This window comes from Homo sapiens, chromosome 13 (genome assembly GCF_000001405.40).
Source record: "Homo sapiens chromosome 13, GRCh38.p14 Primary Assembly".
Classification (NCBI taxonomy): domain Eukaryota; kingdom Metazoa; phylum Chordata; class Mammalia; order Primates; family Hominidae; genus Homo; species Homo sapiens.
Genome location: NC_000013.11, coordinates 93,045,341 through 93,061,670, shown reverse-complemented (window position 1 = coordinate 93,061,670; position 16,330 = coordinate 93,045,341). Strand labels below are relative to the sequence as shown.

Sequence of the window (16,330 nt, the reverse complement as noted above, 5' to 3'; positions counted from 1 at the left end):
ATAGTCTAATTTTTTCCACTGTGAATAATAAAATCCCTTCTCCCTCAAAATCATCAGAAGGACTAAGTGCTACAGGCTGATTTGTTCTTTGCAACATGCTTTGAAGGAGAGCAAATGTGCTTTGTCAATTAGCTAGTTACTGCCTCTTTCCTTTTAAAAAGACCATCTTGGTCTGATTAGAAAACTAGAGAAAAGAAACTTTAATGGCAAGATGAGGACATTAACACCAATGTTGTAGAGAACCAAATGGAAAGCATTAGAATGCATTATTAATTGCTCAATCTGGAAAAAATATGGTAATTACTATGAGACTAGCAGAAAAAACAGACCGAATTGTCTACTGTGTCTCCTCAAGTTCTGTGATCTTATCTAACTCTCTCAGAGTAATAAAAATGTGAATGATACTTTCCGAGAAACTTGGAGGCATCCATATCTATGATGCTTGAATCACCAAGGCTTTCAGAAAACAGCACACAAATTCTCGACCTTGGCCACATAGCTTACAAACTTCACACACCTGGCCTCATCCCTTATAATTTAAGGCACAGTTAAGTCGAACCTAGTGAAAATCTAAATTATGCATTTGAATACTGATATAGCTGTTTGAAAGTACACTCAAATCAGTTATATTTCTACCTGACAGTCTAACTTGATACCAATATTTCCACACCCATCCTATTTCTTTTTCCCTGTTTGTCAATATAAGAATTTTAAAACTATCAGAAAAAGACTGTATATTTCTGAACTCTGCATTTCTATCTCAAGGGCTTGAAATGTCTTTCTGAAGATCTTACATCATTATCCTATTAGATGTCATTTAAGTAAATGGGTGGACCACTAACATGTTTTGCAACATTTCCACGTGCAAAATATTTAAGATGTCCAAAGAAGACATTATCAAGCACTAAACTTCAAATGCAAATTTCTCCTTGTAGTTTCTTCCACACAAAGCAATCTTTTTCAATAATATGTTAGCACATTTTTCTATATGAAGATGAAAAGCTAAATTGTTGGAAACTAACTGATGTTGGGAAAAACAGGGAAACAGGGAGTGCATCTTACTGGGATAAGAGAAAACATTATTTAAATTTTGGTAAAAGAGATCACCAAATTCACTTTATTTCTAGAGCTATCCAAAATAACAATATCTACAGTTTGAGAGAGAGGTTGACTTTGGAATGAAAGGTAAGAAAAGAGAAGAGAAAGAAAACAAATAGATAAGTCCCATAATCTTCGCAGGTCCACAGAGTGATATGGAAAATTCTCCTGAGCTGTAGGGCTTTTAGGCTGACAGCCCTGATATGTCATCCTTCCTGAGTATACACATCCTAATTGGAAATGTGGCATTTTATGCATACGCACGCATGCAGTCAGCATAAAAGGGCAATCCATGTCTTAGAAAAGATTCATCTTACAGAGATAATATGCGTAGGGACGAAGTTGAGAAAATCACACCACAAATCACCTTTTTATAGTTCTATGAGAAAGAAAACTTTCTAATATTGTCTACTGAGACTGAAGAATTTTTGTCCCCGTCCCCATTATTTACCTTTAATATCCATCACTTTATTAGATGAACAAATATACTTTTGAGAAATATATAAAATTAGTTTTATTCTAAAATGGTTCTTGTCCACTGACACATTGTGTTATGTCTTTTCAGTACAGCATGTTTTACTTCCCATTCCTTTTCCATATTGTTTTTGCACAAAGAAAGCTGCAATGTGCTGTGAAAGAACAAAATTAACACCCTATCCCAGTGACTTTGTTCACTGTCCAGAATGGCATCTTTGCTTCCATCTATGAAAGGGGTGGCTTTGGCATCAGACAAGCTGCTGGGAAAAACTGCAGAGTAGGTGACGGTGTTAGGCTGTCTTTGTGTTACTATAAAGAAATACCTGAGACTGGGTAATTTAAGAAGGAAAGAGGTTTAATTGGCTCATGGTTCTGCAGGCTGTACAAGCAAGGCACCAACATCTGCTTGCCTTCTGGTAAGGGCTTCAGGAAGCTTACAACCATGGCAGAAGGTGAAAGGGAACAAGTGAGTCACATAGTAAGAGCAAGAGCGAGAGAAAGGGGTTGAGGGGAGGTCCCAGACTTTTGAACAATTAGATTTCATGTAAACTAACTGGCAAGAACTGTCTTATCACCAAGGGAATGGTTCAAAGCCATTCCTGAGGGATCCACCCCCATGATCCAATAACCTCCTGCCAGGTCCTACCTCTAACATTAGGAATCACATTTCAGCATGAGAGCTGGAGGGGACACATATCAAAACTTTATCAGTAACCAATGGGCTGGATGGTGAAGTCCTGACATTTTACCAGAATCTTCTTGTACAAATGTAGTTACGGCCAAAACCTTTAGTAGGTTTTCTTTTATCTAAGCTACATTGCCCCAAATAGATGGCCAATTATGGTAGGAGGAATAGGGCTTTTGGTTGTAATGTATGCCTGTTCCAATGGTCTTTCCCTTAACACCAATGCTGCCACCAGTAATTCACTTTAAATAATTTGAGAATCATTCCATTGTGTAAGACTTAGTTTCAATTGAATTGAAGATGTGTCCTTTAAGTAGAATACTTTTAAGAAATGTGATTTTAGTATTATGTTCTGGGCTCTGGTCATGAGTGTTGCTTTATGAGAAAAGATAAGGTGGAAGTTTAAAAACAAAACAATTACTCTAAAAGCAAAATTATGAACCATCTGGAGAAAGTTTAGGAATATAGGAAAACAATGATTCAAATTACACTGAAAAAATATGTTTCAGGCAAATTAGCATTTTTGCTTTTGTCTGAATATCTGGATACTTGTCATACTCTAGCCAGAATTAATCACTAAAAACACAGTCAGCTTGTATTTTCATGATTACTTTCACTATAATAGTTGCTCGTCAAATGTCAAAATCAATCTGGCTTATTTGCTGACTTCCTACTTTTATGTACCACTCTTCTTTTGTTATATTAATTTTTAGACATGCTCATTTAGATCTGCAAATTCATTCCAATGTTACACTCCTGAGATTATTTTCTCTGAGCCTTTAAAAGGTCTTCTTTCTGCTAATTCAATCTCCCAAAAGCATTTTCACAATCAACAAATATGAATCATGCTATAACATTTTGCTAAATCTAATAATCTACATTTTCTCAGTCTTGGATATCACTCACCTGCAATTACCCCACTGAAATGGACTTTTGTAATTTTTACAGAATAAGATAACCAGATTATGTTAATTACAGTTGGAAGGCAGGGGCCATGTGTTGTGAGCTACAGAACTTGGCTATCTAGAAGATAATATGTTAGGGGCTGATTATACTGAGGCTTCCTCGAAACCTTTATAAAATGTGGAAATACTATTTATCCACCCTGTGAATTTTGTGATAAAGTTGAAAAAGTCCTGACCTCAGAATACTTACATGTAGACTTCTCTCCTCGTGTTTTTTTTTACTTATGTCTATTTTCCTCAGTTATTAAGGTATCATAACTTATTTTATTGAGTAGATTAGGTCTTAGAAGCCAATAAATGTAATTTTTCTATATGAAATAATTATCCTCACTAATCTTCATTTATTTAAAAAGTCTCTCTTTTCTAGGATATTTTGTTCATAAAATATAGAGAAATTCATTTTGTAGACCTAAATATTTCATAGTTACATATTTAATGAGAAAAAAACCTTCAATATATTTTCCTCACAAATAAAGGTAATGCTACAATAAATCGCAAAATACCAAAAAGAAAAGCAACTTGGATTTTGATTTGGAATTATATTTTACATTTTTGAAGGGTGAACACTGACAACTTAAACAAAACATTATCCTTCACTGCTTGAATTCTGCTTCCTAGGATTTTGTTGAGGCTGATGGCTTTTTGTGTTGAAAAGCTTGATCTGGGCTTTGTATTGAGAAGCTTGATCTATAAAGAAATGCAGAAACATAACAATTCGAAGATAACAATTCAAAATATTCCAGTAAAGAATAAATTTGTCAGTGCTTTTGCTAGAAACAAACAACAAATGAAGGTGGTGTGTATTTTTAGAAATACAGTTTGCATGCATTCAACGTTACACATTTTCTATACAATACGTGCTATGTAGGCACTGGGCATAAAAAGATTAACAAAAATCGGCTTCTGTCCTTATGGAGTTCAGACTTTCACTGTGTGTACTTGAAAGGGCAGGTCCTTTGCATTAGTCTCACCTGAAGCACTTGGTAAAAACGCATTCTGTATTTGAATCTCTGACAATAAAGCCCTGAAATATGATGCATCATTGATATGTTGTAACAAACTCCTTTGGCAATTCTTTAGTGCTGCAGATTAAAGAAATATTGAAGAGATCTGGAATACTGCTGAGGCTGGAGTTAAAAGTGCAGTCCACAGGCCGGGTGCAGTGGTTCACGCCTATAATCCCAGCACTTCGGGAGGCCTAGGCGGGTGGATCACGACGTCAGGAGTTCAAGACCAGCCTGACAAATATGGTGAAACCCCGTTTCTACTAAAAATACAAAAAATAGCCTGGCACAGTGTCACGCGCCTGTAGTCCCAGCTACTCTGGAGGCTGAGGCAGGAGAATCGCTTGAACCCAGGAGGCAGAGGTTGCAGTGAGCCGAGATTGCACCACTGCACTCCAGCCTGGGCGACAGAGTGAGACTTCATCTCAAAAAAAAAAAAAAAAAAAAAAAAGTGCAGCCCACAATTCCAACTGACCAGGATAATGTTGGGAGCATCACTCTGCCTTTCTTAGCATCAATTTTCTACTCCATAAAATGAGGGTGAAGGAGCTTGACAGAGATAATATCTAAGGTCCCTTGCCACTGAGGCCTCTCTCAACTAAGAGATGTTGTTTTGTTATGGCACTCAATGCTGGGCACAATAATACCTGGTTTCCCCTTTTTCTGCATTTTATCTTCCTGTTATTACCTCTGGGAAGGGATGACACATCAAAAATACAAAGAGAATTAAAAGAATCAAATACCTAATATCTGAGTTTCAAAAGTCAACATCCAGGCAGGAAACACTATATTTAAAAGAATATTAAATGAATCAGAACCGCTATTTTCTTGAACTCCCTAAATCAAATGAACATTTCATGGGCTCATAGGATAGAGACCAACTTGCTCAGATTAAACCACAGTACCAGAGTCAAATGAGATGCATTTGGTTACAGAAAAATGATATTAAGTTTTATATATCTTGAATTTGTATCCTGGGATTCAGGACCCATTGTACATTACAAACATACTTTCTTGCGATGTCCTACTCATCCTTCCAGACCCAGGTTAAGAGTTCACATTCTTGTGAAGTCTTCTAGTTCTCCTCTAACAAAACACAGATATTTTCCATCTCTATTCCCACTGCAACTTGTATCTATTTCTGTTATACTATGTACTTAATTTTCTGACAGTTGTAGCTTGGGTGTCTGACTTGCTGTGAGTCTCCAAGATCCTCCAACAGGATCTTGAATCTGACTTTTGTTCTCATTCAGTGCCATGGATGACCACATCATAACTGCTCAGCGAACATGCCTGGGATTTATTGCCTTTGAGTTTGTAAAGTGTTTTGTCATATTGGAGAGATAAAGTGAATTTTTGTAAAATGAAAACAAGGGCAAAATGACAAGAGATGGGAAGCGGACAAGGCTACTGAAGCTATGGCCATAAAAATCACTTAGCTTCCTGGCAGCCAGGGTGAAAAGACAATGGTGCTGAGTTAAATAACTATTATTTGATATAGAATGCTAAATTACTAGAAATGGCCAACATGTCCTAGTTCTGAACTCAGAAGAATTTCTCATGTGGCAGAATAGAAGTTCATAACAAACTCTCTTGATATATTAACAACAAATGAAGCAATGTCTAAGGTAACATTATTTCACACACTTCTCCAGATACAAGGCAAAGTACATTTTTAAAAAAAATAAACAGAGATGAGGTCTCACTATATTGCCCAGGCTGCTCTTGAACTCCTGGCCTCAAGCGATCCTCTCGCCTTGGTCTCCCAAAGTGCTGGGATTACCAGGTAAAATATTAAATTGTAGTTCTGAGAACACATTGCTACACTGGAAGAGTTAATGTAATATAGCACATGCATATCTTTTTCTTATGATCAGAATGAAAAAAAGGTGAAAGTTAGAGAATCTCAGGAAATAAATGACTAGCCTGTTCTGATCCTTCTGGAGAAGCAATTGTCTCCATGGGTTTTCTGATGGGGATCTGTCAGGTGTAGATGGTTCTGTCTTGTTGATTGAAAGGCAACTGACTTGCTTTAGAATTTAGGCATTTAGGCAGCGAGGCTGACACCTGATAAAATAATTAGAGCTGAACAAGTGTTTCTTATCCCTGGAGGTCTGCTATAGTTAATACCTTCAGGCACGGCCAAAACTTTTCTAAAAGAGGCCTTTTAGAAAGGCACACATGCTTTAACACAAAGTAAAATAAATCCTAGTGTTTCCTATCATTAAGAATGGATAAGATAAATTTAGCTGAGGGGACCGGGGTATCACAGGTTACCAGAAGGCTGTCATTAGCAATACTGTGACCTTGGTAGAATGTTTCATTCTTCACCACAATTGCACCACCTATGAGTCTATGAATCAGCCTTCTCAATGATAAACTTAGTATGCAGTAAATTTGTATATGTTCACATTATTACATAAAAATTCATGTCATTGTTTGTTCATAAGCAATTTCTTTTCCATCAAATCTATATCTCATTTCTCCAATCACAAGATTTTATTCCAAATATTTGGCCCATTAAAATGACACAACATTCATAGGCTTATTGGGTCAGAGAATAGTGAAAATGTTTTTATTCTTTCATTTAGTCACTAAGGAAGAAGTTAAATAGGTTTAACTACAAAAAAGATCCTGACCACAGACATTTAGGCAAACAAAAAGATATAGAAAATATTTTCAATATCATTCTTAAAAACTTCCCAATTTTTAATATTTAGTGGGCAAGCAAAAATAAAAATGTATTTACTAGGAATGAGGATTTAAAGAAAGATTTTTCATGAAAATATAGAAAATCTTTTATTAAAATAGAACAAGTTGGTGGGGCACGGTGGCTCATGCCTGTAATCCTAGCACTTTGGGAGGCCAAGGCGGGCAGATCACTTGAGGTCAGGAGTTCAAGACCAGCCTGGCCAACATGGCAAAACCCCATCTCTACTAAAAATACAAAAAATTAGCCAGGTATAGTGGCAGGCATCTGTAATCCCAGCTACTCGGGAGGCTGAGGCAGGAGAACTGCTTGAACCCAGGAGGCAGAGGTTGCAGTGAGCCGAGATCGTGCCATTGCACTCCAGCCTGGGTGACAGAGCGAGACTCCATCTCAAAAAAAAAAAAAAAAAAAAGGACAAGTGGCATTTAGTGACTTCTACCAGCTCTCTAATTCTTACAACTAGTTCTTATTTTATTCCTCAAGCTTATATCTGCCCTAATTTTAGAATTTTTGCCCTTTTAAATATATTTTATTTTTGGAGCAGTGTTAGGTTCATAGCAAAATGGAGCAGAAAGTATAGAGGGTTCCTGTATACTCCCAGAACCCCTCTACGTGCAGGCCCAGCCTCCCTCACTATCAACATCCTGCCCCTCAGCGGTACATTTGTTGCAAACGGTGAACCTACACTGACAATCATTATCACCCCAAGTCCATAGTTTACACCCCTGTGTTCACTCTTAGTGTGCCAGGCCAATTCTCCCTGACAATCACACAGACAGGCCTGTATGACAGTCACACAGGCCTGCGTAGCACTTCAGTTACACAGATAAATTTCCACAGCACTGCCTTAACATTGAGCAAATAGTTAAACCTAGGAAATCAGTGCCCAGACATCAAAGCTAGAAATAAAATATTTAGTCAGTAGGAGCCTTGAATGGGCTTCTCCCTAAACAGGAGCAAGCCAAAATAATAGACAGTCTTATATTCGTAGTGCCAGAAAACCCTTCTCGGGTTGACAAAAATCTGAGACGAGTCAAGGTAACAGAGGCAGCTGTTTGAATAGATTCATTGTAGAGTATAAGGCAGCTCTCTGGACCAAGCTGTAAAGAAGATGAATTAGAAATAATCACTCCGGTACCACAGTAGACAGGCCTTGAAGGTACTGGGGCCTTCACAGCTTAATCGGACTTAGCAACCATTTTTTGGCCTCTGACCTTCTAGTAAAACAAAATTAGTTACCTATAGACAGGCGAATGCTATACTGCAGGTGGGCACATAACCCCAACCTATGTAAGCACTAAGAAAACTGTAACACTTTGAGTTGGTCTGGTGGAATTATTTATCTCTGGCTTTCTCCCTGTATCCGGTTACAGCAATAAATTCTCTTCTTTCCTAGTTTGTCTGCTTCTCATTATTGGGCCTGGAGAAAAATGAGGCTGGACCCGGCTTGGTTCTTGGAATACTAGTGTTGTATATTTTATCGACTTTGAAAATGTCTAATGACATATATCCACCAATGAGTATCACATAGAATAGTTTCAATGTACTAAAAACTTTATGTTCTATTTAATCATCCCTCCCTCCCTCTACCCCTGGCAACAACTGACCTTTTTACTGTCCTCATAGTGGTTTTTTTTTTTCCCTAGAATGCCACATAGTTGGAATCATACCTTTTCCAATCAGCTTCTTTCACTCAGTAATATGGATTTCTGTTTCCTCCATGACTATTCATGGCTTGATAACTCATTTCTTTTCCACACTGAATAATATTCCATTGTCTGGATGTACCACAGTTTACTGATCCACTCACATACCAAAGGATATCTTGGTTGCTTCCCTGTTTTGACAATGATGAATAAAGCTGCTAGAAACATCATTGTGCAGGTTTTTGTGTGGACAGAATTTTTCAGCTCACTTGGGTGCATACTGAAGAGCAGGATTCCTGTGTCATATAATAAGAGTAAGTTTAGTTTTGTGAGAAACTGCTAAACTGTGTTCCAAAGTGTCTGTACCATTTTGCATTTCTACCAGCAACCAGTGAGAATTTTTATGGCTCCACATCCTCCCCAGCATTGGTGTTGTCAATGTTTTGGATGTCGGCCACGCTAACAGGCATGTAGTGGTATCCTATCCCATTGTCGTTTGCATTTCCCTAATGATGCATGATGGGGAGCATCCTTTCAGATGCTTATTTGCCTTCTGTATATTTTCTTTGGTGATATATATGTTCAGGCCTTTTGCTCATTTAAAAAATCAGGTTTTTTTTTTTTATTGTTGACTAAGATTTCTTTGTATATTCTGGAGAACAGTCCTTTATCAGACACGTCTTGTGCAAATATGTTCCCCTAGTCTGTGGCTTTTCTTCTTCTTCGACTGACAGTGTCTTTCACAGAGCAGAAGTTTTTAATTTGAATGAAGTCCAGCTTATTTTTTTTTTACAGGTTGTACAATTGGTGTTTTATCTAAAACATCATGCCATAAATGAGGCCATCCAGCTTTTTGCTGATTATCTTCTAGTTTTGTGTTTTACCTTTAAATCTATAACCCATTTTGAGTTCATTTTTGTCAAGGGTGTAAGGTCTGTTTCTAGATCCATTTTTTCATATGGATGTCCAATTGGTCCATCATCACTTGTTGAAAGATTTTTCTTCACCGTGTTGCCTTTGCCCCTTTGTCAAATATCAGTTACCTATATATTATGTGGTTCTATCTCTTAGCTGTCTATTATATTTCATGGATCTATTTTTCTTTACTTTTGCCAGTACCACTCTGTCTTTACTACCATGGTAGAATATTTTTAAATGAAAGGAAAAAAGTTATGGGGACACAATAAAACAAAAGCCACTTCTGAGGTGGAAATTTTTCCGAGTGTTTGCAAATATTAATATGTAGTTGAAGTTATAGATGTGTGTATAAATAACCTGCTTGGTTTTCTGTTTTTTTGTTTGTTTGTTTTTGAGACAGGATCTCACTTTGTCACACAAGCTGGAGTGCAGTGGCATGATCTCAGCTCACTGCAAACTCCATCTCCTGGGTTCAAATGATTCTCCTGCCTCAGCCTCCCAAGTAACTGGGATCACAGGTGTCCACCACCACACCTGGCTAATTTTTGTATTTTTAATAGAGACAGGGTTTCTCCATGTTGGCCAGGCTGGTCTCAAACTACTGGCCTCAAGTGATCCGCCCCTCTTGGTCTCCCAAAGTGTTGGGATTACCGGCTTGAGCCACTGGGCCCAGACTAGATTTCTTTTTTTTTTTTTTTAACATAAAGAGCAAGAAATTATACACTTCCTTTCTGTCCCACTCACGATCCTAATTCTCTCCTCTATCATACCAAAATTCCATAAAAGACACATATCTATACTGTTGACTTCCAATTCAGCTATTCCATTCTTTCTTGCTTTTGCAACAGTTTATTTTGAAAAATGACAAAATAAAAAAGCTGGAAAAATTATACAATTAATAAATATATAGCCTTCACTCAGGATCATCAACTCTTAATATTTTGCTACATTTCCTTTCTCTCTCTCCTTCACACTTATTCTCTCTCTCCATTTTGCTACCTACTTCAAGGCTGGGGTAGAAAGTATGATCAGATTTCTTGTGAGGATGGAAATCTGGGTGATAAGTGAACCACATACCATTTTCAAAGTAAAACTTGGTTGTGGGGCATCAAGACCTTAGAGTTTTGGGCTGCTGGTATAACCATTGGCAAAAGAATTGTTTAGGGATTTCTACTAAGGAAGATAAGAAAGAGTTTTTCAGAGTTTTGACAGCCCCATTTTAGTTCGGCATGATCCTATGTGCCTAAAGGGGAAAGGAACCAGAATTTAAACTGTAGCCCAGATGAGTGTGGATATGTGTGTTCCCATGTTTCTGAGAGTTGTGCCAATATTTCTTTTTATCTTTTCTTTTCTTTTTTTTTTTATAGACAGAGTTGCTCTTGTTACGCAGGCTGGAGTGCAATGGCTCACTGCAACCTCCGATCTCGGCTCACTGCAACTTCTGCCTCCCGGGTTCAAGCGATTCTCCTGCCTCAGCCTCCCGAGTAGCTGGGATTACAGGCAAACATCACCACGCTGGGCTAATTTTTTGTATTTTTAGTAGAGACGGGGTTTCACCATGTTGGCCAGGCTGGTCTCAAACCCCTGACCTCAGGTGATCCACTCGCCTCGGCCTCCCAAAGTGTTGGAATTACAGGTATGAGCCACCATGCCCATCCACGTTGTGCCAATACATATATTTTTTAAGACGGGTTCTCACTTTGTCACCTAGGCTGGAGTGCAGTGGCACAATCTTGGCTCACTGCAAGCTCTGCCTCCTGGGTTCACGCCATTCTCCTGCCTCAGCCTCCCGAGTAGCTGAGACTATAGGCACTCGCCACCACGCCCGGCTAATATTTTTGTATTTTTAGTAGAGACGGGGTTTCACCGGGTTAGCCAGGATGGTCACAATCTCCTGACCTCGTGATCTGCCCACCTCAGCCTCCCAAAGTGCTGGGATTACAGGCGTAAGCCACCACGCCAGGCCTGAGTTGTGTCAATATTTCTTTTTTGCGGGGGGGCGGGTGGGGGATGGTGGCGGGAGACAGAGTCTCACTCTGTCACCCAGGCTGGAGTGCAGTGGCACGATCTCGGCTCACTGCAACTTCCGCCTCCTGGGTTCAAGCGATTCTCCTGCCTCAGCCTCCTGAGTAGCTGGGACTACAGGCGTGCACCACCACACCAGGCTAATATTTTGTATTTTAGTAGAGGCAGGGTTTCACCGTGTTGCCCAGGCTTGTCTTGAATTCCTGAGCTCAGGTAATCCGCCTGCCTTGGCCTCCCAAAGTGCTAGGATTACAGGCGTGAGCCACCACGCTGGCCAAGTTGTGCCAATATTTCTAAGAGAACGGGTGATCAAAGAATCCAATCGATTAAGATAAGGAAGGAGGAGATAATCACCTGGGACTACAACACAAAGATAAAAAAAATGCTGTGCCTCCAAGAAATCACAAGGAACACCCAAGACTGATTGAGATTCAAGAGAATGGGGCCCCCAAAAGAAATTAATTTTTATATACAGGAAAATAAATTTGTATTTGTTGATCATGGGACCTTATGGACTAAGATTTTTATCAGCTACTTTTATCTCAATTAAAGTATCAGTTTATTAAGGAAAGTAGATACAAGTTTTAAACATTGATAGTAAGCATCCCAATAATAAAGGAACTTTTAAAAGAATTCATGTCTCAACATCTCAGCATTCTGTTCTGATTTATGTTTTTCAGATTGTTTCCAGTTCTTGAAGACATACACATATAATTTGACACAGATGTAAACAACGTGCTGATGCTGCATTGAAATCTGAATTTTATCTTAGCTTTATATTGTAAACATTCTACATGATACACCGTTTTTAGATTTATATTTTAATCATTGTATACCAGTCTGTCACATATCAAAATCGACTTAATCACATTTTCCAATTTTTGGATGTTTAGGATTTTGTTTTTCTTATAATAAAGAATGTTGCAAAGTACACTTAGGGCTCTAAAATATTCATATGGCTTATCCTTCAGGAATTATCTTCAGCTTAAATTCCCAGAAAAGAACATTCTCCTGATGTTGATTGACTAATGTCAATTTCTACCAGCAACAAATGAGAATTTTTATGGCTCCACATCCTCCCCAGCGTTGGTGTTGTCAATGTTTTAGATGTTGGCCACGCTAACAGGCATGTAGTGGTATCCTATCCCATTGTCGTTTGCATTTCCCTAATGATGCATGATGGGGAGCATCTTTTCAGATGCTTATTTGCCTTCTGTATATTTTCTTTGGTGATATATATGTTCAGGCCTTTTGCTCATTTAAAAAATCAGGTTGTTTATTTTTTTATTGTTGACTTCTAAGATTTCTTTGTATATTCTGGAGAACAGTCCTTTATCAGACATGTCTTGTGCAAATATGTTCCCCAAGTCTGTGGCTTTTCTTCTTATTCTACTGACAGTGTCAGTAGTAGTAGTAGAATTTTTGTCATTGATATTGTTAGGTTGGTTATGTTTGCACTGAAAAATGTCAATAGTAAGTATTATTGTTTTAAATGTTTCCATGTTAAGTGAAAATCTTTAAACTTTGAGGAAGCTTAAAATCATGCTACACAAAGACACCAGTATTGGTCACAATAGAATAAAAAGAAGGGTGTAGATGAGAAAGCAATGGGTGAACAACATTTTAAGATAAGGAAAAAGATTAAGGCAAGACAAAATAAAATGAATTCAAATGTACATATTTGTTTTTCTAGATGACAGGATAAGAATACCTCCTGCAGGTCACAGTGAAGATTTTTGTTGCCTTTTAAAAACAAGTGTTTGCCAAAGACTTCAAGGAATATGGGATTATGTAAAGTGACCAAACCTTTGACTTTTTGGCATTCCTGAGAGAGAAGTAAAAGTAAACAACTACTTGAGAGAATAATTATTTGAGGGAATAATTTAGATAAATCTCCCTAATCTTGCTAGAGAGGCCCAAAAATAACGCTAAAGAAAAAAATCTTAAAGACAGCTGGAGAAAAAGGTCAAATCACCTATCAAGGAAAACCAAGCAGACTAACAGCAGACTTTTCACAGAAGTCCTACAAGTCAGAAGAGATTGGTGGCCTACTTTTTGCCCCTTTAAAGAAAAAACATGCCAAAATTTTAGAATGTTATACCCTGCCAAAGTAAGCTTCATAAATGAAGGAGAAATAGTCTTTCCCAGACAAGGAAATGCTGAGAGAATTTGTCACCACTAGACTGAACCTATAAGAAATGATCAAAGGAGTTCTAAATATGGAAACAAAAGGACAATTTTTACCATCAGAAAAGCATACATATTATGGCCAGGTGTGGTGGCTCATGCCTGTAATCCCAGCACTTTGGGAGGCTGAAGGGCAGGTGGATCATTTGAGGTCAGGAGTTTGAGACCAGTCTGGCCAACATGGTGAATCCCCATCTCTACTAAAAATACGAAGGTCAGAGATGCTATAAAGCAATGAAAAACTCCAAACACAATCAAAACTACAGAACAACTAGCTAATAACACTACGACAGTAACAGAACCTCACATATCAATCAATATTAACCTTGAATATAAAGGGCCTAAATGCCCTGTTTAAAAGATAAAGTGGCAAATCGGATTAAAAAGACAAGACCAAACCATCTGCTATCTACAAGAGATGCATGTACTGGCTAAAGATACATGGAGACTCAAAGAAAAAGGATAGAAAAAGACGTATGATGCAAATAAAAAACAAAAGTGAGCAGGAGTAGCCGTTCACATATCAGATAAAACAGACTTCAAACTAACAACAGTACAAGGACAAAGAAAAGCATTACATAATGATAAAGGTTCAATACAACAAGATTTAGCTATCCTAAATATATATGCACCAAACACCAGAGCACCTAGATCCATAAAACAAATACTATTAGACCTAAGAAAACAGATTGATAGCAATCCAGTAATAGTGGGGTGTAATCAATATTTGGGTGATGGGTATACTAGAAGCCCAATCCCCAGCATGATGTACGTAATACCCATGTAACAAATAAATACATGTACCCCGCTGAATTTAAAATACAATTTAAAAAAATAAAAACAAGTGTTTGTATCTTACCTCAAAAGTCATTTGGCTCTTGCATCTGTAGAAACTAGGAAAATCCAGTCCGTTGTTTTTTTCCTTATTTCTAGGAAGAAAGATTTATCCTGTATAGTATTTCTCAAGAAAAATAACCTAATAAACAGACAAGAAATAACAATACTCTGTCTCCAAAATTCCTCACTCTGAAATTAACTAATGATGCCCAAAGATTAGAAATAGACACTGTACATACATTATGTATACATATTTATACATATTTTACACACAAAAAAGTGCAAGTTTAAAAATTTCCCAATCTTGCATGTTAGTTGATTCATACAGATTTTTCAATATTTTTTCTTTAAGTGACATTAGTCCATTACCATATTAGAACATTTTAAAAAATAATCATATTTTCTCCTTGAAGATCTGTGACCATGAAAATTATGGACCTTATCAGTTTAAATGGTTCTTTAACGAATTAGCGATTCAAAAGAAGATTGCCTAGGAAGAAATAAATACCGTTGTTGATCATTATTTGATTTTCAGTTATAAACTAGAAAGGGACACTTTTAATGATGCGGATGCTTCCAAATATTTCTGTGTGATAAATTGTTTGCAATTTCCTCAGCATTTCAAAAGTGAGTGTCTTCAGATTAGAGTTTCTAAATAAATCCCAGTTCTAAGGGAAAAAAAAACCCAAATGTCTCAATTTTCTAATTTTGGTCCATATCTGTTGGATAATGTAAAGGGAAGTGCGCCTGCTGCCATGTGGCTATAAGTTTTTATAGCATATTAGAGAGTCAAGCAGTTTGGTGTGCCAAGCTCACACAACCTCATGGCAATAACTCCGCAAGTATGATCACAAAGGCAAGGGTGTGCTTAGTATCAGTGAGGCGAGCCATAAATAACCCAATGCCAATCCTTTGAACACTGATGCCAATGCTTTAATTTTGAACAGTAAAATCCACCTGCATATCTACTAGACATATCTTCCAGTCTGGAACCCTGATTCTTTCTCCTCCTCAGAAGGAAATCACATTTCTTCTGTGAGTCACTGACCCATGTTGCTAAAGTAAAACATAAGAAAAGCTGTTCCTGCTTCCTGCACAGAATCCCTGTTGGACACCTCATAACCCAAGTGATTGTGTCTATGGAAACAGGAGTAAAATCCAGTGGAATGCTCTTTCCTATTTCAAGGAAAATGTGTTTTCTTGGGTAGTATTTTCCAAGATAAGTAAGTTGAAAACAAACAAATAACAATCAGCCCTCATCCCATTCTTTATTCTGAAACTGATGATACCAATAAATGTAAGAAATAGTTACTATTTAATATACATAATCAAGTGTATTCATAGGTGAATATGTGCTGCTACATAATCCATCACCTGCTTTACTTACTCGCCAGGACAACATCTATCAAATTGGCATAATTTTTTTTTTTCCTGAGAAAATGACAAAACATTAAGCCGTGTTGCTTTTAAAGTACTTACTCATGTAAGTAACCCCTATTAAACAGTATTTTATTCTGCAGCTCTATATTATATGGGAACTAAATAAAATATTTTGGTTTGCTGTTGCTGTATAACAAACCACTTCAAATGTTGGTGAACTAAAACAGCAACTTTTCCCCAATAATTCTGTAGGTCAGCTGGGCAGTTCTGATATGAGCCAGCTTGGTAAGACCGGATCGTTTAAGAGGGCCCCACTCATGTGTCTGTGGCCTTAGCTGGTTCAGCAGACTTGGCATGCCTTGCTTACCTGGTCTGTCATACTCCAGGAGGCCAGCCTG

The 16,330-nt window shown here is 37.6% G+C and overlaps 1 long non-coding RNA gene across 1 annotated transcript; it reads right to left on the bottom strand.

Annotated features, from left to right (window-relative positions):
- Positions 1 to 3,744: 3,744 nt before the first annotated feature.
- On the bottom strand, positions 3,745 to 16,330 carry LINC00363 (long intergenic non-protein coding RNA 363). Its single transcript, NR_126360.1, has 4 exons — positions 16,300 to 16,330; positions 14,575 to 14,644; positions 4,973 to 5,014; positions 3,745 to 3,912 (listed from the first exon to the last, which is right to left on the bottom strand). It is a non-coding gene; the product is annotated as a long intergenic non-protein coding RNA 363 (long non-coding RNA).